At 43.2% G+C, this 23,465-nt stretch overlaps 1 protein-coding gene and 1 long non-coding RNA gene across 34 annotated transcripts in view; one reads left to right on the top strand and one right to left on the bottom strand.

Moving 5' to 3' along the window:
* Nucleotides 1-175: 175 nt before the first annotated feature.
* On the top strand, nt 176-5,976 carry LOC105369401 (uncharacterized). 2 transcript variants are annotated; one of them, XR_950342.2, is made up of 3 exons: nt 176-422; nt 2,311-2,513; nt 4,601-5,976. It is a non-coding gene; the product is annotated as an uncharacterized LOC105369401 (long non-coding RNA). The 2 variants fall into 2 exon arrangements; XR_007062796.1 differs by having other exon boundaries at nt 5,537-5,976.
* Nucleotides 19,927-23,465, bottom strand: part of ALG8 (ALG8 alpha-1,3-glucosyltransferase) — a 38,681-nt gene continuing 35,142 nt past the window's right edge. For 20 of the 32 annotated variants that reach the window (NR_189148.1, NR_189149.1, NM_001425234.1 and 17 more), the window contains 3 exons: nt 23,337-23,434; nt 22,961-23,033; nt 19,927-20,176 (listed from right to left, as the gene is read on the bottom strand). Coding sequence is in view for 29 of the 32 variants with exons in the window: in NM_001425234.1 (NP_001412163.1) it covers nt 19,945-20,176; nt 22,961-23,033; nt 23,337-23,434 (403 nt within the window). In the remaining 3 variants the exon portion in view is untranslated. Of the gene's footprint in view, nt 20,201-21,854; nt 21,930-22,960; nt 23,034-23,336; nt 23,435-23,465 lie in introns of those variants that run through there. The other 12 variants (NM_001425236.1, NM_001425237.1, NM_001007027.3 and 9 more) reach the window with 8 other exon arrangements.

Here is a 23,465-nt window from a genome sequence, read left to right on the forward strand (position 1 = left end):
TTAACTGATCAACCATCCTTGTGACATTCTTCTTCTGGACAATAAGTCTTATGATCTCCCCATCATGTACCTTGTGACCCCCTCCCCTGCTAACAATAGATAACAACCACCTTTTACTGTAATTTTCCATTACCTACCTAAATCCTATAAAGCAACCCCTTCCCCATCTCCCTTCATTGATTCTCTTTTCGGACTCAGCCCACTTGCACCCAAGTGAATAAACAGCCTTGTTGCTCACACAAAGCCTGTTGGTGGTCTCTTCACACGGATGCATTTGACATTTGGTGCTATGACTTGGATCGGGGGACCTTCCTTGGGAGATCAATCCCCTGTCCTCCCGCTCTTTGCTCCGTGAGGAAGATCTACCTACGACCTCGGGTCCTCAGACCAGCCCAAGGAACATCTCACCAATTTTAAATCGGGTAAGTGGCCTCTTTCTACTCTCTTCTTCAACCTCTTTCACTATCCCTCAACCTCTTTCTCCTTTCAATTTCGGCACCACCCTTCAGTCTCTCCCTTCCCTTAATTTCGGTTCCTTTCCCTGTCTGGTAGAGACAGAGGAGACCCGTTTTATCTGTGGACCCAAAACTCTGGCGCTGGTCATGGACTCGGGAAGACTGTCTTCCCTTGTGTTTAGTCACTGCAGGGACGCCTGCCTGATTATTCACCCACATTTCAGAGGTGTTCGATCACTGCGGGGACACCTGTTTTGATCTTCCACCTTGGTGGCAAGTACCACTTCCCCTGGGTGGCAAGTACCACCCCCCCTCTCTCCATGTCTCAACCTCCTCCTTTCTCTAAACTTACCTTTTTACTATGGGCAACCTTCAGCCCTCCATTCCTTCTTCTTCCTCTCTTAGCCTGTGTTCTTAAAAACTTAAAACCTCTTCAACTCTCACCTGACCTAAAACCTAAGTGTCTTATTTTCTTCTGCAACACCACTTGGCCCCAATACAAACTTGATAATGGCTCTAAATGGCCAGAAAAGAGCACTTTCGATTTCTCCAGCCTACAAGATCTAGATAATTTTTGTCATAAAATGGGCAAATGGTCTGAGGTGCCCTACATCCAGGCATTTTTTACACTTCGTTCCTTCCCTAATCTCTGTTCCCAGTGCGACTTGCCGCAAATCTTCCTTCTTTCCCTCCCGCCTGTCCCTTCAGTCCCAACCTGAAGTGCCGGTGAGTCTTTTGAATATTTCTTTTCTACCGACCCATCTGACTTCTACCCTCCTCCCTAGACTGCTCCTCCTCAGGTCGCTCCCCACCAGGCTGAATCAGCTTCCAACTCTTCCTCAGCCTCCACTTCCCCACCCTACAACCCTTCTATCATCTCCCCTCCCCACACCTGGTCCAGCTTACAATTTCGTTCTGCGGCAAATACTCCCCCACCTGCCCAATAATTTCCTCTTCAAGAAGTGGCTGGAACTGAGGGCATCGTCAGAGTGCATGTACCATTTTCTCTATCAGACCTTTCCCAAATTAATCAACACTTAGGCTCCTTCTCGTCAGACCCCACCAAATATATACATGAATTCCAGTATTTAACCCAGTCTTACAATTTAACCTGGAGTGGCTTAAATGTCATCCTAATTTCTACCCTCTCCCCAGATGAATGGGAAAGAGTGTTTCCTCTAGCCTAGTCCCACACAGACACCCACTGGCATTATGAGCCAGGCCTCCAGGAAGGTATTACAGACGGTTCCCTGAGAAGATCCCCAGTGGCACTATCAGGCAGGTTCCTCAGGTATAGCTAGGTGAGATTACATGATTTCCTGCCTAGTTGAAGGGCTTAAAAAGGCAGCATACAAATCTGTTAATTATGACAAACTTAAAGAAACTACCCAAGGTAAAGATGAAGACCCAGCCCAGTTCATGGCCTGTTTGGTGGCTACCCTTAGATGCTTTATAGCCCTAGACCCTGAAGGGCCAGAAGGCTGTCTTATTCTTGATATGCATTTCATCACCCAGTCAGCTCCTGACATCAGAAAAAAGCTTCAAAAATTTGAATCTGGCCCTCAAACCCCACAACAGGAATTAATCAACCTCGCCTTCAATGTGTACAATAATAGAGAAGAGGCAGCCAAGCAGAAACACATTTCTGAGTTACAATTACTTGCCTCTGCTGTGAGACAAAACCCAGCTGCACCTCCGGCACACAAGAACTTCAAAATGCCTAAGCTGCAGTGGTCAGGCTTTCCTACAGGACCTCCTCCCTCAGGATCTTGCTTCAAGTGCCAGAAATCTGGCCAGTGGGCCAAGGAATGCCTGCAGCCCAGGATTCCTCCCAAGCCATGTTCCATCTGTGCAGTGACCCACTGGAAATCAGACCGCCCAGCTCACCCGGCAGCCACTTCCAGAGCCCAGCCCCTAAAGCTCTGGCCCAAGGGTCTCTGACTGACTCCTTACCAGACCTGCTCAGCTTAGTGGCTGAAGACTGACGCTGCCCAATCACCTTGGAAGCCCCCTGGACCATCATGGATGCCAAGCTTCGGGTAACTTTCACAGTGGAGGGTAAGTCTGTCCCCTTTTTAATCGATACAGGGGCTACCCACTCCACATTACCTTATTTTCAAGGACCTGTTTCCCTTGCCCACATAACCATTGTGGGTATTGACAGCCAGGCTTCTAAACCTCTTAAAACTCCCCAACTTTGGTGACAACTTGTACAACATTCTTTTATGCACTCCTTTTTAGTTATTCCCACCTGCTCAGTTCCCTTATTAGGTTGAGATGTTTTAACAAAATTATCCACCACCCTGACTATTCCTGGACGACAGCCACATCTCATTGCCACCCTTCTTCCCAACCCAAAGCCTCCTTCACTTCTTCCTCTTGTATCCCCCCACCTTAACCCACAAGTATGGGATACCTCTACTCCCTCCCTAGCAACCGATCACACACCCATTACTATCCTATTAAAACCTAATCACTCTTACCCCCCTCAGTGCCAGTGTCCCATCCCACAACAGACTTTAAAGGGACTAAAGCCTATTATCTCTCGTCTGCTACAGTATGGGCTTCTAAAGCCTCCAAACTCTCCTTACAATTCCCCCATTTTACCTGTCCAAAAACCGGACAAGTATTACAAGTTAATTCAGGATCTGTGCCTTATCAACCAAATTGTTTTGCCTATCCACTCTGTGGTGCCCAACCCGTACACTCTTTTGTCCTCAATACCTTCCTCCACAACTATTCCGTTCTTGATCTTAAAGATGCTTTTTTCACTATTCCCCTGCACCCCTCGTCCCAGCCCTCTTTGCTTTTACCTGGATTGACCCTGACACCCATCAGTCCCAGCAACTTACCTGGGCTGTACTGCCACGAGGCTTCAGGGACAGCCCTCATTCCTTCAGCCAAGCTCTTTCTCATGATTTACTTTCTTTCCACCCCTCTGCTTCTCACCTTATTCAATATATTGATGACCTTCTACTTTGTAGCCCCTCCTTTAAATCTTCTCAACAAGACACCCTCCTGCTCCTTCAACATTTATTCTCGAAACCATTATATAAACTCAGAAAGGGAAACCTAGCCAACCCCACAGATCCTAAATCCTTTCCCCACTCCTCTTTCCATTCCTTGAAAACAGCTCTAGAAACTGCTACCACACTAGCTCTCCCTGACTCATCCCAACCCTTTTCATTACACACAGCTGAAGTACAGGGCTGTGTGGTCGGAATTCTTACACAAGGACCGGGACCGCGCCCTGTAGCCTTTTTGTCTGAACAACTTGACCTTACTGTTTTAGGCTGGCCCTCATGTTTGCGTGTGGCAGCTGCCACCGCTCTAATACTTTTAGAGGCCCTTAAAATCGCAAACTATGCTCAACTCACTCTCTACAGTTCTCATAACTTTCAAAATCTATTTTCTTCCTCAAACCTGATGCATATACTTTCTGCCCCTCCAGCTCCTTCAGCTATACTCACTCTTTGTTGAGTCTCCCATAATTACCATTGTTCCTGGCCCAGACTTCAATCCGGCCTCCCACATTATTCCTGATACCACACCTGACCCCCATGACTGTATCTCTCTGACCTACCTGGCATTTCAACTTCTGTCACAACCTTCCATTGTCTTTCTAATGACTTTCCTGCTAGCATTACAGATATATCACAAACTTTATCAGTCCTTCGGGCCCAGGTCGGTTCCTTAGTCGCAGTTGTCCTCCAAAATCACCAAGGCCTTGACCTACTCACTGCTGAAAAAGGAGAACTCTGCATATTTTTAAATGAAGAATGTTGTTTTTATCTAAATCAATCCAGCCTGCTATATGACAACATAAAAAAGCTTAAAGTTAGGGCCCCAAAACTCGCCAGCCAGGCAAATAATTATGCTGGACCTACCTGGGCACTTTTTAACTGGGCGTCTTGGCTCCTTCCTACTCTTAGTCCCCTGGTACCTGTTTTTCTCCTTCTCTTATTTGGGCCTTTTGTCTTTCATTTAGTCCCTCAATTCACACAAAACCGCATCCAGGCCATCACCAATCATTCCATACTGCAGTTGCTGCTTCTAACAACCCCATGGTACTATCCGGTGCCCCAAAATCTCCCCACAGCCTAAACTTCTATTCCTCGTCCTATTATACTCCTTCTCACCTTTAGGACTAAACCAGTGATGAACTCCTGGCAACATCCAGACAAGACCAAGCTTCTGTGCAACACCCCCTCCAAACGGCTGTCCAAACATACTTCCAGGCCTGCTTCACCCGTTCCTCTAAACCATAATCTCTGAGGACCTGCTGTCTATAAAAACAACTTCCTTCAGGCCTTGTCCTCCAAAATGTTCCCCACCCCCAAAATCAAAGACCTCTGAATTAAAAATCTAAAATGCCTGGGGTGGCAGCTGTCAAATCCTTGCCCATGGGGTCCTCAGGCCTACTCATATAGAAATGACCAGCAATATGCATATAGAGGACCAGTTCCACATATCTGGCACTCAGGTCAACATCCAGGACGACACATGGTCTGTCATTGGTTATTAGAAGGCCTAGGACATTTCTCTCTTTGCCAGCCCCAACTTATTCCAGGAGACAGGGACTATTGTACTTACTGTCTTTCCTGTATAGGGTCTGCAGTAAGGACTATTGAACTCCTCCATTCAAAACACCACTCACACCTTTGGGAAAAAAGTAACATAATAGACTTTTGGCTCGATGCCAGGGGATCCTATTCATATGATGGCAAATGGGGACAAAAGGCCTTGGTATATAAAACGTTATTCCTACCTTGGCCTAAAAACTCACTGCCACCTACCTTAAAGCTATTATGCTTAATTGCTATTTTTAGATAATTTATTCTACTAGGAGAATTCCAAGCTCAAAAATATGCTAACTGGTGCCTTGTTAGCCACACAAAATTGTACCCGAAAACTTTCTAGACCAACTCACTATAAAATTAAATTTTCTTTAGGTGTCCATGCTGCCCCTAAGTCATGCCTGAAGCAGCCCTGAGAAACATCGCCCCTGCCCCAATAATCCCCAGTAAAAACTTATATTTTCTTTATCTTTTCTTATAACTTTATATTTTATAAATAAAAAGACAGGAATGTCAGGCCTCTGCGCCGAAGCTCAGCCATTGTAACCCCTGTGACTTGCACATATGTGTCCAGATGGCCTGCAGGAGCCAAGAAGTCTGGGGCAGCTGAAAAACCACAAAAGAAGTAAAACAGCCAGTTCCTGCCTTAACAGATTAACCAACATTCCACCATTCCACCATTGTGACTGGTCCCTGCCCTACCTTAATGGATCGATTGACCTTGTGACATTCTTCTTCTGGACAATGAGTCTTATGATCTCCCTACCATGTACCTTGTGACCCCCCTCCTCTGCTAACAATAGATAACCACCTTTTAGTGTAATTTTCCATTACCTACCCAACTCCTATAGGGCAACCCCTTCCCCATCTCCCTTCGCTGACTCTCTTTTCAGACTCAGCCCACTTGCACCCAAGTGAATAAACAGCCTTGTTGCTCACACAAAGCCTGTTGGTGGCGTCTTCACACAGACATGCGTGACATCTGCTCACCCACCTCTAATACTGCAGATTGAACAGTTCCCTTTGGAAAGCCCTTCCTGATGTTGAGCTAAAATGTCTTCCTGTCATGTCCATTCATTAGTAGAATAAACATTTTATCCAAATGAGGCTGATTAAACCAGAGGTTTATGCAAAGGTGTATGCATCAAAGATAGTGATTTCCTGAGTGGAAGAATTAAATACCAGCTAAGAGTGATTACATAAAGCATGGACCTTTTATCTCTATAGAAAAAACGCTACCTGACAATATTTCAAGTTAGAATTTTGCTTTTCTTTTTCTCAAGTCAGGGTCTCATTCTGTCACACAGACTGGAGTGCAGTGGTGCGATCATGCTGGCTAATTTTTAAATTTTTTGTAGACAGGGTCTGCTATGTTGCCCAGGTTGGTCTAGAGCTCCTGGGCTCAAGGGATCCTCCTACCTTGGCCTCCCAAAGTGCTGGGATTACAGGCATGAGGCACCTCGCCCAGCCCAAATTAGGATTTTTCTGGAGTGTATATTAGCACTTTCCTGAAAGGCAGCAAATGTTTCAAAAGTTCACACCCTTTAACTCAATAATTACACATCTAGGAATCTTATTCTCTGAAAATAGTATAGCATGGAAAACGTTTTTTGCACAAATTTTTGTTTTTTTAACCACAGTGTTTCTTTTAAAATGTTATTAAAAGAATAAAAACAACCAAAAATGTTCCTCAGAAGCAATATGTAAATTCTGAATACCAGATAAACTACTAGGCAAGCATCTAAAATAAAGTTTACAGATTTTCTTAAAACATGATGAAATACTTGTGTATTCAATGGATATTCCAAGGCTCAGCTTCTATAAAAAAAATCTAACTCTGAGTAAGGGGATCCATAACAGAAGCCTAGCCCACTGCTCCTCAACACATAACCCCCACAATCTTCTGGGCCTGTTTTTTTATGAGACAGAGGTTCACTTTGTCGCCCAGGTTGGAGTGCAGTGGCGCGATGTCAGCTAACTGCAACTTCTGCCTCCCTGGTTCAAGCAATTCTCTTGCCTCAGCCTCCCCAGTAGCTGGGATTACAGGTGTGTGCCACCATGTCCTGCTAATTTTTGTATTTTTAGTAAAGATGGGGTTTCGCCCTGTTGGCCAGGCTGTTCTCAAACTCCTGACCTCAAGTGATCTGCCCACCTCGGCTTCCCAAAGTGCTGGGATTACAGGCGTGAGCTACTGCAACTGGCCCTGTTTTGTTTTGCTTTGTGGGGTTTTTTTTTTTTTTTTTTGAGACCGAGTCTCACTCTGTCACCCAGGCTGGAGTCCAGTGGCACAATATCGGCTCACTGCAAGCTCCGCCTCGGGTTCATGCCAATCTCCCGCCTCAGCCTTCCGAGTAGCTGGGACTACAGGTGCCCGCCACCACACCCAGCTAATTTTTTGTATTTTTAGTAGAGACGGGGTTTCACCGTGTTGGCCAGGATGGTCTCGATCTCCTGACCTCATGATCTGCCCACCTTGGCCTCCCAAAGTGCTAGGATTACAGGCGTGAGCCACTGCACCCGGCTGTTTGTTTTGTTTTTTTGAGACGGAGTGTCACTCTTGTTGCCTATGCTGGAGTGCAATGGTGCGATCTTGGCTCACCACAATCTCTACCTCCTGGGTTCAAGTGATTCTCCTGCCTCAGCCTCCCGAGTAGCTGGGATTACAGGCATGCGCCACCACGCCTGGCTACTTTTGTATTTTAGTAGAGATGGGGTTTCTCCATGTTGGTCAGGCTGGTCTCGAACTCCTGAACTCAAGTGATCCACCTGCCTCGGCCTCCCAAAGTGCTGGGATTACAGGTGTGAGCCACCACGCTTGGCCCAGATCTATGATGTGCAAATATTTTCTTCCATTCTGTAAGCTGCGTTTTCACTCTGCTTCCTTTGATGTACAGGAGTTTTAAAGTTTGATGTATTCCCGGCCGGGCGCAGTGGCTCACACTCCTAGCACTTTGGGAGGCTGAGGCAGGCGGATTGCCTGAGCTCAGGAGGTCGGGACCAGCCTGGGCAACATGGTGAAACACCGTCTCTACTAAAATACAAAAAATTAGCCGGGCGTGGTGGCGGGCGCCTGTATTCCCAGCTATTCAGGAGGCTGAGGCTGGAGAATCACTTGAACCCAGGAGGTGGAGGTTGCAGTGAGCCGAGATCATGCCACTGCACTCCAACCTGGGTGACAGAGCAAGACTCCATCTCCAAAAAAAAAAAAAAGTTTGATGTAGTCCCATTTGTCTAGTGTTGCTTTTGTTACCTATATTTTTGGTGTCATATCCAAGAAATCATTGCAAAATCCAGTGTTCTGAAGCTGTTTTCTTTTCTTTTCCTTTTTTTTTTTTTTTTTTTTTTTTTTGAGACAGGGTCTCAGTGTCGCCCAGGCTGGAGTGCAATGGCACAATCTTGGCTGACTACAACATCCGCCTCCTGGGTTCAAGTGATTCTCCCACCTCAGGTTCCCAAGTAGTTGCGATTATAGGCGTGAGACATCACACCAGTTAATTTTTTTGTATTTTTAGTAGAGACAGGGTTTCGCCATGTTGGCCAGGCTGGTCTCAAACTCCTGGCCTCAAGTGATCCACCTGCCTCGGCCCCCCAAAGTGCTGGGATTACAGGCATGAGCCGCCACGCCTGGCCTGAAGTTGTATTTTCTTCTAGGAGTTTTAGATCTTATAGTTAGGCCTTTAATCCATTTTGAGTTGGTTTTTTTTTTTTTTTTTTTTTTTTTCTGAGACAGAGTCTTACTCTGTCACCCAAGCTGGAGTGCAGTGGCGCAGTCTCGGTTCACTGCAACCTCCACTTCCCGGGTTCAAGCAATTCTCCTGCCTCAGCCTCCCAAGTAGCTGAGATTACAGGTGCCTACCACCATGCCTGGTTAATTTTTGAATTTTTAATAGAGACAGGGTTTCACCATGTTGGCCAGGCTGATCACGAACTCCTGACCTCAGGTGATGCACCCACCTTGGCCTCCCAAAGTGCTGGGATTACAGGTGTGAGCCACCATGCCTGACCATTTTAATTTTTGTACGTGGTATAAGGTAAGGTTCCAACTTCATCTTTTGCATGTGGATATTCAGTTTTCCCAACACAGACTATCCTTTCCCCCGTGTATAGTCTTGGCACTCTTGATGAAGATCACTTGGCCATATACACAATGGTTTATTTCTAGGCTCTCTATTCTGTACCATTGGGTCTATCTATGTGTGTATGCCAGTACCATATCATCTTTTTTTTTTTTTTTTTTTTTTTTTTTGAGATGGAGTCTTGCTCTGTTGCCCAGGCTGGAGTGCAGTGGCACGATCTCGGCTCACTGCAACCTCCACCTCCCGGGTTCAAGCGATTCTCCTGCCTCAGCCTCCCAAGTAGCTGGGACTACAGGTGCATGCCACCACACCCGGCTAATTTTTTTGTATTTTTAATAGAGGTGGGGTTTCACCGTGTTAGTGAGGATGGTCTCGATCTCCTGACCTGGTGATCTGCTGAGTCTGTCCCGCAGACTCTGGCTGAGCAATGGATGAAAGAAGTACACTGACACAGGTGTTTTGCCTGACAGCGCAGCTAGGGCTCAGCACCACTGACGAGAGAGTGCAGCAGCCACCGAGAGAGTGCAGTCCCAATAAGCTGGCCCTGCTCGCATTTATGTAGTACATATTTAATGACAAAGGGTTGAAGCAAACACAGTTTGTGGGTAATAAACATTGTTGACCCCCCAGGTAGAGAGCAGTCCTGTGCTCGAATGATCAAAGGTTGGTTTCTGGAGACAGAAGTAAACAAATTTATCTAGATAAGTTTCTTTACATTCCCTTGTTATCTGCCCTTTGCTCTCAGGCTCCGGATAAGAAAATTTGACTGCCTTCAGCCATAATTCCCTTCCGAAGCTTTTGGAAAACCTCCCGGCCTTCCAAGAAGGTTTGCGTCTTTCCCTATAACTTTTTCTTACAACTTTTCCCACCACCCTGACAGAACTCCTACAGTGATCCACCCGCCTCAGCCTCCCAAATTGCTAGGATTACAGGTGTGAGCCACCACACCCAGCCCCGCCCCGCCCTTTTTTTTTTTTGAGTCAGTCTTACTCTTTGGTGCAGGCTGGAGTCCAGTGGCATGATCATGGCTCACTGCAGCCTCAACCTCCTGGGCTCAAGAGATCCTCCCACCTCAGCCTCCTAAGTAGCTGGGGCTACAGGCCTACACCACCCCAGCTGCCTAATTTTTTTTTTTTTTTTTTTGAGACAGAGTCTTGCTTTATCGCCCAGGAAGGAGTGCAGTGGCGCGATCTCGGCTCACTGCAAGCTCTGCCTCCCAAGCTCACACCATTCTCCTGCCTCAGCCTCCCAAAGTGCTGGGATTACAGGTGTGAGCTACCACACCCGGCCTTCAGCTGGCTAATTTTTTAAATTTTTTGTAGAGATGGAGCCTCACTATGTTGTCCAGAATGGTCTTGAGCTCCTGGGCTCAAGCAATCCTTCCACCTCGGCCTCCCAAAGCATTGGGATTACAGGTGTGAGCCACTGTGCTAGCCTTATATATACACTCTGATGCTAATCTTTTGTTAAATATATGGCAGATATCTTTTCCAACTATTCTGCTTGCCTTTGAATGTTATTTATGGAGTCTGGGGTGGTTGTCATAAAGTGTAAACTATTGGTTTAGTAAAATGTATCAATCTTTTTCTTTGTTGTCTATGTTTTTAATATTATTAAGAAGCCTTGTTTTTTCTAAGACCATAAAGATATGCTCAGATATTTTCTTCCCAAGTTTTAGCTTTGCATGTTTAATCCATTCGAATTTTTGTTTTTGTGTTGAGTGTGAGGAATATTACACGTGAAAACTGGCCGAACATCATTTATTATTAAAGTCCATCTTTTCCCTACTAGTATTTAATGCCTCCTTTAATACACATCACGTTCTCACAAATGCCATGGTCTATTTCTGAAATCTACTTTGTTCCACAGTTCTCTTTACCAATTACTATACCCATATCATACAATCTAATAACCATAGTGTTGAATTGTTCTTTAATATCTGATAGGGTGTATCATCTACTTTTTTTCAAAGCTAATACATGTTAGCAATTATTATTATTACTATTCGTACACCTTTAGACTTCCTTATGATTTTAAAATCACCTTGTCAAGTTATTTGAAAAATCTCATTAGGGTATTGATTAGAATTTCATTAAATTTATAGACTCCTATGGAAAGAACTGATATATTTAAAATGCTGAGTCTTCTGATCTATGAACATGGTATATATTTATGCATTTATTCAAATTTCCTTTTATATCCCTCAATAAACCATTAGCATTTTCTCTACAAAATTCTTGAACATTTTCACTAGTATGTCTCTAGATATTTATAGTTTTTGTTACTGTTGCAAATATCTTTATATTCTATTACTTTTCTAATTGGTTAATTAGAATGCTGCTCTTGTAGTCAGCAATTTTGCTACACTTTCCTATTAGTTCCAATAGTTTTCCACTTGATTCTGTTGGGTTTCCCCATATCCTTGGCAACCTTTGCCTGTTGTCTGTTGCCATTGCCGAACTTTAATTTTTGCCAGTCTTCTAGTAGAAATGTTATTTCACTATGGTTTTGCTTTTCCTTTATTATTAGCAAAGCTGAATATATTTTCATATTTATTGATTCTTCTATAGTTTCCTCTTCCATGAATGAATTGGTTGTTCATCTTTTACCCATTTTTTAAAAATGTTTTAATTTTTTTTGAAGAGATGGGATTTCACCATGTTGCCTCAGCTGGTCTCGAACTCCTGGGCTCAAACAATTCAACCGCCTTGGTCTCCCAAAGTGTTGGGATTACAGGCATCAGCCACCACACCCAGCCAATCTTTTTCTTTATGGTTTATAGTGTGTCTTTAAAAATTCTTTCTGGCTGGGCCTGGTGGCTCACGCTTGTAACCCCAGCACTTTGGGAGGACAAGGCAGGTGGATCACTTCAGGTCAGGAGTTTGAAACCAACCTGGCCAACATGGTGAAACTCTGTCTCTACTAAAAATACAAAAATTACCTGGGCGTGGGGACTTGTGTTGGTAATCCCAGCAACTTGGGAGGCTGAGGCAGAAGAATTGCTTGAACCTGGGAGGTGGAGGTTGCAGTGAGCTGAGATCGCGCCACTGCACTCCAGTCTGGCCGACAGAGTGAGACTCTGTCTCAAAGAAAAAATGGCAAAGAATATCAACACAGTACTCAGGAGAGAAAACACAAATGGCTACGCTGAGCACAGTGGCTCACACCTGTAATCCCAGCACTTTGGAAGGTGAGGTGAAAGGATCGCTTGAGCCCAGGAGTTCAAGACCAACCTCAGCAATCTAATAAACCATTTCTATTTAAAAAATAATGAAAATAGGGTCAGGTATGGTAGCTCATGCCTGTAATCCCAGCACTTTGGGAGGCCAAGGCAAGTGGATCACTGGAGGTCAGGAGTTCAAGACCAGCCTAAGCAACATGGTGAAACCCTGTCCCTACTAAAAATACAAAAATGAGCTGGGCGTGATGGTGCACACCTGTAGTTCCAGCTACTCAGGTGGCTAAGGCAGGAGAATCTTTTGAATCTGGGAGGTGGAGGTTGCAGTGTGCCGTGATCGTGCCACTGCACTCCAGCCTGGGTGAGGAGCAAGACTCCGTCTCAATCAATCAATCAAATACAAATGGCTTTTAAACATATAAGAAGTTTCTAACCTCTCTCATAAGAGAAATACAAATGAAGATAACAGATGTCACTGGCAAAGCTTGATGACACAGTAAATTGGCAAATGTGTGAATAGGCATCCTTATACATTGCCTGTGAAACAAACTGATGCAACTTCTATCACCAATTTGGCAACATCTATCGAAATTACAACTGAGCATAGCCTTCAATATAGAAATTCTAGTTCTGGCCGGGTGTGGTGGCTTATACCTGTAATCCCAGCACTTTGGGAGGCCGAGGCGGGCGGATTACCTAAGGTCAGGAGTTCGAGATCAGCCTGACCAACATGGAGAAACTCCATCTCTACTAAAAATACAAAAAAAAAAAAAAAAAGAAATTCTAGTTCTATTAAGCATATTCTGAGAGTGAAAAAAAAAGAGAAATTCTAGTTCTAGAAATTTAATTCAACAACATGTGCAGTCCTAGCACACAGGCAGAATGGAATACTGATATTGATATTGATTGCAGTGTTATTCATACTGTCAAAAATGGAAACAACTTAAATGTCCACTAAGAGAAATCTTGTTAAATAAATTCTGGTCCATCTATACAATAGACACTGTAATGAACAGACTCTAAGATGGCCCCAATTATCTCTGCTTCCTGGAACTCATGCTGGTAATCCCCTCCCATACATGTGGGTTGGACATGTAAGTTCTTCTAACAGAATGTGGCAAAGGTGACAGGATGTCACTTTCATGATTACATTACACAAGATCATGACATATTATTATTTTTTGAGACAAGGTCTGGCTCTATCACCGAGGCTGGAGTGCAGTGGTGCAATCTTGGCTCACCGTAACCTCCCCCTCCCAGGTTCAAGCCATCCTCTCACCTCAGCCTCCTGAGTAGCTGGGACTACCATGACCAGCTAATTTTTGTATATTTTGTAGTGACAGTGTTTTGCCCTGTTGCCCATGCTGGTCTCAAACTCATGAGCTCAAGGGATCCATCTGCCTCAGTCTCCCAAAGTGCTGGGATTATAGGCGTTAGTCACCCTGCCTGCCCAAGATCATGACAGCTATCTTGATAGCCAACTTCCTTCCTTGATGTCTTTGATGAAGCTAGCTGCCATGTTGTGACTACCCCATGAAGCGGGTCAATTGACAAGGAATTGAGGGTTGGTTTCCACCCAAAAGCCAACAAGAAACTGAGGCCCTCAGTCCTACAACCCATAGAGAATTGAATTCTGCCAACAACCGTGGAAGCAGATCTTTTCTCAGTCAAACCTTGGGATGAGACCACAACTCTGGGTGGCACCTTGATTGCAGCCTTGTGAGAGATCCTGAAGCAGAGGACCAAGATAAGCTGTGCCTAGACTCCTGACTTACAGAAACTATGAGACAGTAAATGTGTTTTTTTCAGCCACTATGTTGTTACACAGCAATAGATAACTAATACAGATAATATGCAGCTCTTAAAAGAATGATGCAGTTCTATATGTACTGATAACAGAATAAACTCCAAAATATACTAAGCATACAAACACACACACACACACACACACACACACACACAAAAGTGAGGTCAGCAGGCACAGTGGCTCACACCTGTAATCCCAGCACTTTGGGAGGCCGAGGTGGGTGGACTGCTTGAGCCAGGAGCTCAAGACCAGCCTGGGCAAAATGGTGAAACCCCATCTCTACAAAAAATACAAAAATTATCTGGTCCTGGTCATGCCTCCTGTAATCCCAGCTACTTGGGAGGCTGAGGTGGAGGTTGCAGTGAACCGAGACTGCACCACTGTACTCCAGCCTGGGCAACAAAGCAGGACCCTGTCAAAAAATAAATAATAAAAAATGTGAGGTCAAAAGTGTGTATAATGTTTTCATTTATGTACATAAAAATACTTGTCTATGCATAGAATATCTCTGGCATCTCTGGAATGATACATTAAAAAATTGGTAACAATGGTTGCCTCTTGGTAGGGGAACTGGGTAGCTGGGGACCTCACGAATTTTGCTCCATCTACATGAAAGTATAACTCAGAAAATCTGAAAACCATTTGTTCCCATTTGACTTAAAATCAAATTCCCACATGATTTGGGCGCTGCCTACTTCTTCATCTTCAATTTATACCACTCTTCTTTGCTCTTAGGACCCTCTAGCCACTAGAATATAAATTCCTTGTAGGCAGGAATATGGCTTTCTTGTCCACTTTTTGATCTCCAGCACTGAGCACAATGTATAACACTCAATAGAAATTCATTAAATATTTTTGTGAAGTGATAATGGATTTCATTTGCAGTTTTAGTAGGGATTAAGAGATGTAATGTCTAGCACCGTACTTGGCACATAACAGTATGGGGTTTTCCTTCTGTGTATCACTTGAAGGGCTGTTATTTAAATATGAGTAGACCTTCAGTACGTTCTGCTCCAGAAACCAGTAGGAGAAAGTCAGAGAAGGAAAAATACTAATTCATCATTAAAAATGCCCTAACAAACAGCTGCACATATGGGAGGGGCTGCTTTGAGAGGTGAACACTCCCATCCTGCTTTAATCAGCTATCTTTGTCAGAAAAACACTTAAAAAATTAATAAATCTGGTCGGGTGCAGTGACTTATGCCTGTAATCCCAGCACTTTGGGAGGCTGAGGCAGGCGGATTGCCTGAGCTCAGGAGTTCAAGACCAGCTTGGGCAACACGGTGAAACCCTCTTTACTAAAATACAAAAAATTAGCTGGGCGTGGCGGCGTGCTACTCGGGAGGCTGAGGCAGGAAACGCTTGAACCCGGGAGGCAGAGGTTGCAGTGAGCCAAGATTGCCCGGGCGACAGAGTGAGACTCTGTCTTCAAACAATAATAATAATAAATAAAAATAAAAAATATGTGGAATGTACTTCTGAAAGCCTTTCTAGGACTCTGAAATTCTTATAAACAGTCTCTTTTCAGAGCATTGTACAGAGGTATATTGAGTCTTGTCCCTTTCATAGTCACTTTATCAGTACAAATATTTTTGTTGTTTTTTTTTTTAAAGACAGAGTCTAGTTCTGTCACCCAGGCTGGAGTGCAGTGGTGCAATCTCAGTTCACTCCAACCTCCGCCTTCCGGGTTCAAGTAATTCTCCTGCCTCGGCCTCCTGAGTAGCTGGGATTACAGGCACCCACTACCCCGCCTGGCTAATTTTTGTGTTTTTAGTAGAGATGGAGTTTCACCATGTTGGCCAGGCTGGTCTCAAACTCCTGACCTCAAGTGATTCACCTGCCTCAGCCTCCCAAAGTACTGGGGTTACAGGCGTGAGCCACCACACCCAACATATATTGTTTTTTTTTAAGATGGAGTCTCGCTCTGTTGCCTAGGCTGGAGTGCAGTGGCACGATCTCGGCTCACTGCAAGCTCTGCCTCCCGGGTTCACGCCATTCTCCTGCCTCAGCCTCCCAAGTAGCTGGGACTACAGGCGCTCGCCACCACGCCCGGCTAATTTTTTGTATTTTTAGTAGAGATGGGGTTTCAACGTATTAGCCAGGATGGTCTTGATCTCCTGACCTTGTGATCCGCCCGCCTCGGCCTCCAACATATATTGTTTTTGTTTCTGACTCCACAGTTTGAAAAAAAAATTAGTACCTTTATTGACTTTTGTATAAAATGGAGATGCTGAATATGGGACTTCATTGTGAGAAATGAATGGCTATACTGCTTCAAGCTTTTAAGGTTTACATGATCATTCCAATCTTAACTGCCATTAGCACAGTAGCCAATTTCTTTGGAGAACAAACAAAGGGATAGGTGGATTTTTTAAAAAACCAGCATCATGCTATAAGTGTAATTTCATCAAAATCTTAAAGAGAAATATATCTAAAAACAAACGTTCAAACTCTTTTTAACAGATGACTCATGATGCAATTAAAATCAAAATATGTGCATAAAATTGACATTTTAATCAAAAATACATATTTTTCAAAGGTCATTATTTTATTGGCATGTTTTCTTTCCTATTAACTGCAAACAGAAGCTGCATGGGCTATACCTAGGGGGCATTTCTGATACTGAGTGCTTCCTTCACAAAGTTTCAGGGTGGAAGTCTATAACACTATACAAGTCTAAAACACTTAACAAGAAACACTATACCAGAGTTGGGCTAGAAAGACAGCACATCTTCCTAGTAGTTCCCGCCCAGTTCTGGCTCTATGCCTCCACCTGGGGAAAGATACAGTGACCAAGAACACGAAGTCCCACCACTTATTCTTTTATCTTCTTAAATTGTGGCACATTGCATATACATTAATTAGTAGGTAAGAAATGAGTTATGTATCTTATTTGTTTACATTTTGATAATACTATCTTGTTCTTAAACTTTGCTTAATTCCCAATTTCAAAATATTTTGAAACAGCATTTCTTTTTTTTTTAAGATGGGGTCTTGCTGTGTCACCCAGGCTGGAGTGCATTGGCAGGATCATGGCTCACTGCAGCCTCAAATGCCTGGGCTCAAGTGATTCTCCCACTTCAGCTTCCTGAGTAGCTGAGATTACAGGCACGGGCCATCACGCCTGGCTAATTTTTATTTTTGTAGAGACAGGTCTCACTATGTTGCCCAGGCTGGTCTTGAACTCCTGGACTCCAGTGATCCTCCTGCCTCGGTGTCCCAAAGCGCTATGAGCCACCACACGCCACCAGCACTTCATTTATTGACTGAAATTTAGGAATTTGTTGTTGAAAACCACCCATATCTCTGTAAAGTTTTAAAACATGATTACAAAGTATAGTGTTTGGAAAAGAATAAAAGAATCTTGGGCTCTAGACAAAAAGTCTAGATTCTAGTCTGTGTTGGCACCAACAAGGTATTCTTCAGAGTCTGGAGCCATTTCCCTCCCGGTAATATAAGACATTGACTTTTTTTTTTTTTTTTTTTTTTTTTTGAGACAGGGTCTTGCTTACTTCCCCAGTCTGGAATACAGTGGTGTGAACACAGCTCACTTAGCCTCGACTTCCAGGATTCAAGTGATCCTCCCACCTCAGTCTCTTGAGTAGCTGGGACTACAGCGCATGTCACCAGGCTTGGCTAATTTTTTGATTTTTTGTAGACAAAGGGTCTCACTATGTTGCCCAGGCTGGTCTTGAACTCCTGGGCTCAAGTGATCTGTCTGCCTCAGGCTCCCAAAGTGCTGGGATTACAAGTGTGGGTCACTGTGCTCAGCTGAACTGCTTTAAGGCTATATTTGGACTTTGAAGTCAAATGAAAATGTATATGAAGCCATGTGAATATATGAAACAGATCAAAGCTATTTACTATGGACAGAGCCCAGGGCCTCTGAGGCAACACTGAAGAACCTCCAGTGCTCTACAGAACATTCTGGAAATCCCTACACTAGATGAGCTCTTCCCGTTCTGACATCACATCACTTTCATAATAACAACCAAAAAAGTAAATTTGGTCAGGTTGAAATCCATCCAAATTCATCTTCTACTTTTTTTTTTTTTTGGCTTGGACAACAGCAAAGACGTGAGGAACTATACTGGTCCTTTGTGTTAATGCTTGTACTAGTAAAATATTTAGGTTTTAATCATGGCTGGTTTGGTGTGCTTCATTCATTCATTCAACTGTGCTAAAAACTGGGGCTATGAAGACAAGTGTGGTCTCAAACTGCTAGTCTCCTGGGGAAAAGAGGTAAACAAGCATAACACAGTATTACAGCAGTTAATGGTATCAGCAGACTCCTGGCACAGTGGGAGCAACTCAATTCTGCAGGAGGAGGGAAGGTAGAGGGATAGGAAAAGATTCACATAAATAGCAATGCTATTGACCGAGCACTTAAAATGCATCAGGCAGTGTTCTTAATCTTTTATGTAATCATTTTAGAGATGAGAACATTCAGATAAAAGATGGTTAAATAACCTGCCTACAGATTTTAAAAAAAATGATGGAGGCAAGATTTACAACCAGGACATACGACTTTAAGGCCCTACTCTTAATCACTACACCATTCTGCCTTTATATTGACAGACATGGTAGCAGTTAAGCTGAATCTTGAAGAGGTTCATATAATCAGATGACAGGGTAGAAGTCAGCAGAGAGGAGAGGAAGCAGCATGAATGAAAGGGAACAGAGGTACAAGACAGCATGGCACACGGGGAGTTTGAAGTTGTTAGGCCAGCTGGAACACAGGGTGGAGGAGAGTCTGTGGGCAGGAAAACAGGTTAGAGGCGCTACGCTTCCCTCCCCCTTTGGCAAGATCCCCATCTTTGTCTCTGCAATAACAGACCAAAAAGAAGTCTTAGAAAATGGAGTAGACGGAAGAGATGGAATAACTGGATTCCATCTCAGAATGCCATTGACCTTGGAGTCTCTCTGATCTTAGGGGATAATGGGTAAATAAAATGTATGAATTCTGCCTGAGGGCTGAAAAAAAATAGAAATAAAATAAAATGTGTGAAAGTTCCTACTGTTGACTAGATAAACGTTGGCTGAATCTGAATGTGTGGCAGATATTACACAAATTGGGGTCCTGGATAAAAAGCGTATATGAAGTACTCTTAAGGAAGGGAAAGGATAAGAACCAGACTGCAAAAATCACTTCAGTTCCTGCGCATGATGAAAGGTTTAAGTGGCTGCCTTATAAAAACTGCAGTGCTTGCTGTTAGAATAAATGAGCTGCACGAGATATCCTTAAATCAATGTAAAGTAGCTGTGGTTTGTAGTTTCTGCTGCCTGGCCAAACCAGTACCTTAACTACTCCCCTTGGCTTTGTGAGTATTGTCACTGTATAATTTCAAACAAAAAAAATCTCGAACAAGGTGTACAGAATGGGGACAGTACACCATCTGCCTGTGTACACGCCAAGAGGAAAATGTAGGAGCTGGTAACGATCCAGAAGTTTTTTTGTGCATACAAAATAGCATTTCATTTATATTTCCTTAGCACAGGATTCTAATTATGCTTTATATCCTCACAATGGTTAGCATAGGCTACAAATAATTATGCGGTTAATCAGATTCCCTGTTTGGCTTGAGCAAGCACAGCAGTCTGAACGATCTCAGACAATTTTAATAGGGAAAGGTGAGTTTTTTTCAGATGTGTTTCAGTGCTTATGGAGGGCCAGTGGCTTCTCACCATGGTGACAATCCGGTTGCTAGGCTGGGCAAGACCAAGTGTGGAAGAATGGTGCTCTGAACAGTTCTACTGAAACAAATGGCTGATGCCACTGGCAACTTTCTTCAAGTTCTGGTTAATTTCCCATGAAATAATTGCTTGGCACATATCTAAGCAGTTCCTTTATTCATTGTTTCTTTGTCTTGCCAATAGCAGAGTCAATCAATACTGAAACATACAGTTTGAACCAAGCATATGTGATGCCTACTGCACAATACACTGAGGTTAGTAACAAAGGGATGAAGGGGTACTTCACCTTCCAGGAGGTGAAAGGGAATACAAATTCACAGCAGACTTCCAGAGGCCCCAGGCCAAGCAGGTAGAAAGTTTCCATCCAATTAAAAAGAGGTTTTTCTTTTCTGAAGGAAAAAAGAGAGAAAAGTCTGATTTTAGATGAGTCATCCTGGTTTAGCAAACATTTCCTAGCTAAAGCTTCCCCATCTGCACTGTCTTGCTGTCAATTATTATAGCCAAGGCCAGAGTCAAGAGTATATTAAATTTCACATTTAGGGCCAAGTGCAGAGGCTCATGCCTGTAATCCCAGCACTTTGGGAGGCCAAGGCAGGTGGATCACCTGAGGTCAGGAGTTCTAGACTAACCTGGCCAACATGGAGAAACCCCATCTCTACTAAAAATACAAAAATTAGCCGACCAGGGTGGCACAGGCCTGTAATTCCAGCTACTTGGGAGGCTGAGGCAGGAGAACTGCTTTAACTGGGTTGCAGTGAGTCGATATGGCACCACTGCACTCTAGCCTGGGCGACAGAGTGAGACTCTGTCTCAAAAAATAAATAAAAATAAAAAATAAGTTTCACATTTAGAAAAAAATGATAATTATATACGTTATATTATCTCAACAATCTAAATTTACTCCACCATTGACCTATGCTGTTATTTAGCTCAAGCTGCTCAGAGAGAATTAGTTCTGCATTTGAAAGAGGTAAAGGGGTTGGGTGCTGTGACATTGGAATAAGAACATGAGAAACAATATAGAATTGAAGATTTAAAAAAAATTTTCTTTTTGAGATGGAGCGTTGCTCTGTCACCCAGACTGGAGTGCAGTGGTGCAATCTCAGCTTACTGCAACCTCCACCTCCTGGGTTCAAGCGATTCTCTTGCCTCAGCCTCCCAAGTAGCTGGGATTACAGGCGCCTGCCACCATGCCCAGCTAATTTTTGTATTTTCTATAGAGACAAGGTTTCACCAGATTTTTAAAATATTTTTTATTTTGGTAAAATATATATAACATGAAATTTGCTATTTGTTTAACCATTTTTAAGTATACAGTTTGATGGTATTAAGTAGATCAATAATATGCGCCCATCGCCACTATCCACCTTCAAAATATTTTCGTGACCCCAAACAGAAACTCTGGAACCATTAACAATAACTTCCCATCCCCCTGTTCCCTCAACCTCTAATCTACTTTCTGTCTCTATGTTTGTTTATTCTAGAATTTCCTATCAGTGGAACGATATGATATTTGTTCTATTCTCTCGTTTCTTTCACTTAGCATGTTTTCAAGATTCATTCATGTAGCATGTATTGGAACTTCATTCTTTTCTTTGGCTGAATAATCCACTATATGTATATATCACACTTTATCATGTATTTGTTGATGGACATTGGGTTGTTTCCATCTTTTAGCTAGTATGAATAATGCTACAATGAATACTGATGTACAAGTATCTGTTGAGTCCCTGTTTCCATTCTTTTGGGTATAGGGGTGGAATTGCTGGGTCACATGGCTATAACTGCATTTTAACATAGTTAATTATATAAGTTTTTATGGACACAGTTATGAACCATAAGCAAGCTTTAAAAAATTACAGTTGGCCGGGCATGGTGGCTCACACCTGTAATGCCAGCACTTTGGGAGGCCAAGGACGGTGGATCACCTGAGGTCAGGAGTTTGAGACCAGCCTGACCAACATGGAGAAACCCATCTCTACTAAAAATACAAAATCAGCTGGGTGTGGTGGCGCATGCTTGTAATCCTAGCTGCTAGGGAGGCTGAGGCAGGAGAATCGCTTGAACCTGGGAGGCGGAGGTTTCAGTTAGCTGAGATCGTGCCATTGCACTCCAGCCTGGGCAACAAGGGTGAAACTCCGTCTCAAAAAAAAAAAAAAAAAATTATAGTTAACATTACATACAGTTTAGAAGAGAAAAAGTTTCCATCTATAATTCTGTAGTAAAATTTGTACATAGTTGGGTGCGGTGGCTCAACGCCTGTAATCCCAGCACTTTGGGAGGCCGAGGTGGGTGGATCACCTGAGGTTGGGAGTTCAAGACCAGCCTGACCAACACAGAGAAACCCCATCTCTAATAAAAATACAAAATTAGCCGGGCACAGCAGCTCACGCCTGTACTTCCAGCACTATGGGAGGCCAAGGTAAGTGGATCACCTGACGTCAGGAGCTCGAGAGCAGCCTGGCCAACATGGTGAAACCCCACCTCTACTAAAAATATAAAAAATTAGCCAGGTGTGGTAGTGATGCATACCTATAATCTCAGCTACTCAGGAGGCTGAGGCTGGAGAATCGCTTGAACCCAGGAGGCGGAAGTTGCAGTGAGTGGAGATCGCGCCACTGCACTCCAGCCTGGGCGACAAGAGTGAAACTCCGTCTCCAAAAAAAAAAAAATTAGCTGGGCATGGTGGCGCATGCCTGTAATCCCAGTAACTTGGGAGGCTGAGGCAGGAGAATAGCTTGAACCCGGTAGGCGGAGGGTGTGGTGAGCCGAGATCACGCCATTGCCCTCCAGCCTGGGCAACAAGAGCAAAACTCCGTCTCAAAAAAACGAACAAAAAAAATTTGTACATAGTATCTTTTAGTTTTTTCCATATCTATCTGTATTTAATAGTTTTATTCATAAAGCATATTTTACATTCAGTTTTTGAGTTTTCATATAGGATTTTAATTTAAGTAGTCCTCCTCAAATACTCCCCCAAACTAAAGACACAAACTATGTTGTCTCGACTGAGTGATGGGATTGAGTGATTTCTCCCTCTATTTACCAATTTTTTTTGTAATGTTGTCATATTACTGTTATAACTTAAAAATAAAATTTAAAGAGCTTATTTGACCACTTAGGTGTAAACATTTCACAAGAGTAAGTATAATTTTAAACATTTTTTTGATTACCTGAATAAAGTCTTCAGTGACGAAATACTATATATGGTGAATAGTAACATGAGTAAGATTTTAATGGGAAGTTCTGTTAAAAGAATAGAAAAAAAAAGATAATTTAGCTGATGACAGAAAGACTTATGATGCTGAAAGTAATATAAGCACACTGACACAGCTATATAGTGCTAATAATACTTTTTAAGTTTAATTTTACATTTTTGTGACATCTAGAGATGCTGAGAATTACAGGAAATTGGAGGTTTTATTTAAGAGGATGAATGATCTCTATCCAAGAGATTTTAGAGTTGTTTAAATTAGATGTATTAATCTGTGGGCCTCGATGAAAAGGTTGTGATAGTCAAATATATTTTTCTCAGAAGACGCTGTTTACCTGGTGCAGTGAAGAGCAGAGGAAAGAGGGAATAATGTCCTGTTGTGGTCAGAATCAGAAAAATCGAAGCGTCTCCTGCTTTTCCCACAGACAAAAGGCTAAAAATAAAAATAATTTCTTAAAACAACA

The sequence above is a fragment of the Homo sapiens genome, chromosome 11 (assembly GCF_000001405.40).
Source record: "Homo sapiens chromosome 11, GRCh38.p14 Primary Assembly".
Lineage (NCBI taxonomy): Eukaryota > Metazoa > Chordata > Mammalia > Primates > Hominidae > Homo > Homo sapiens.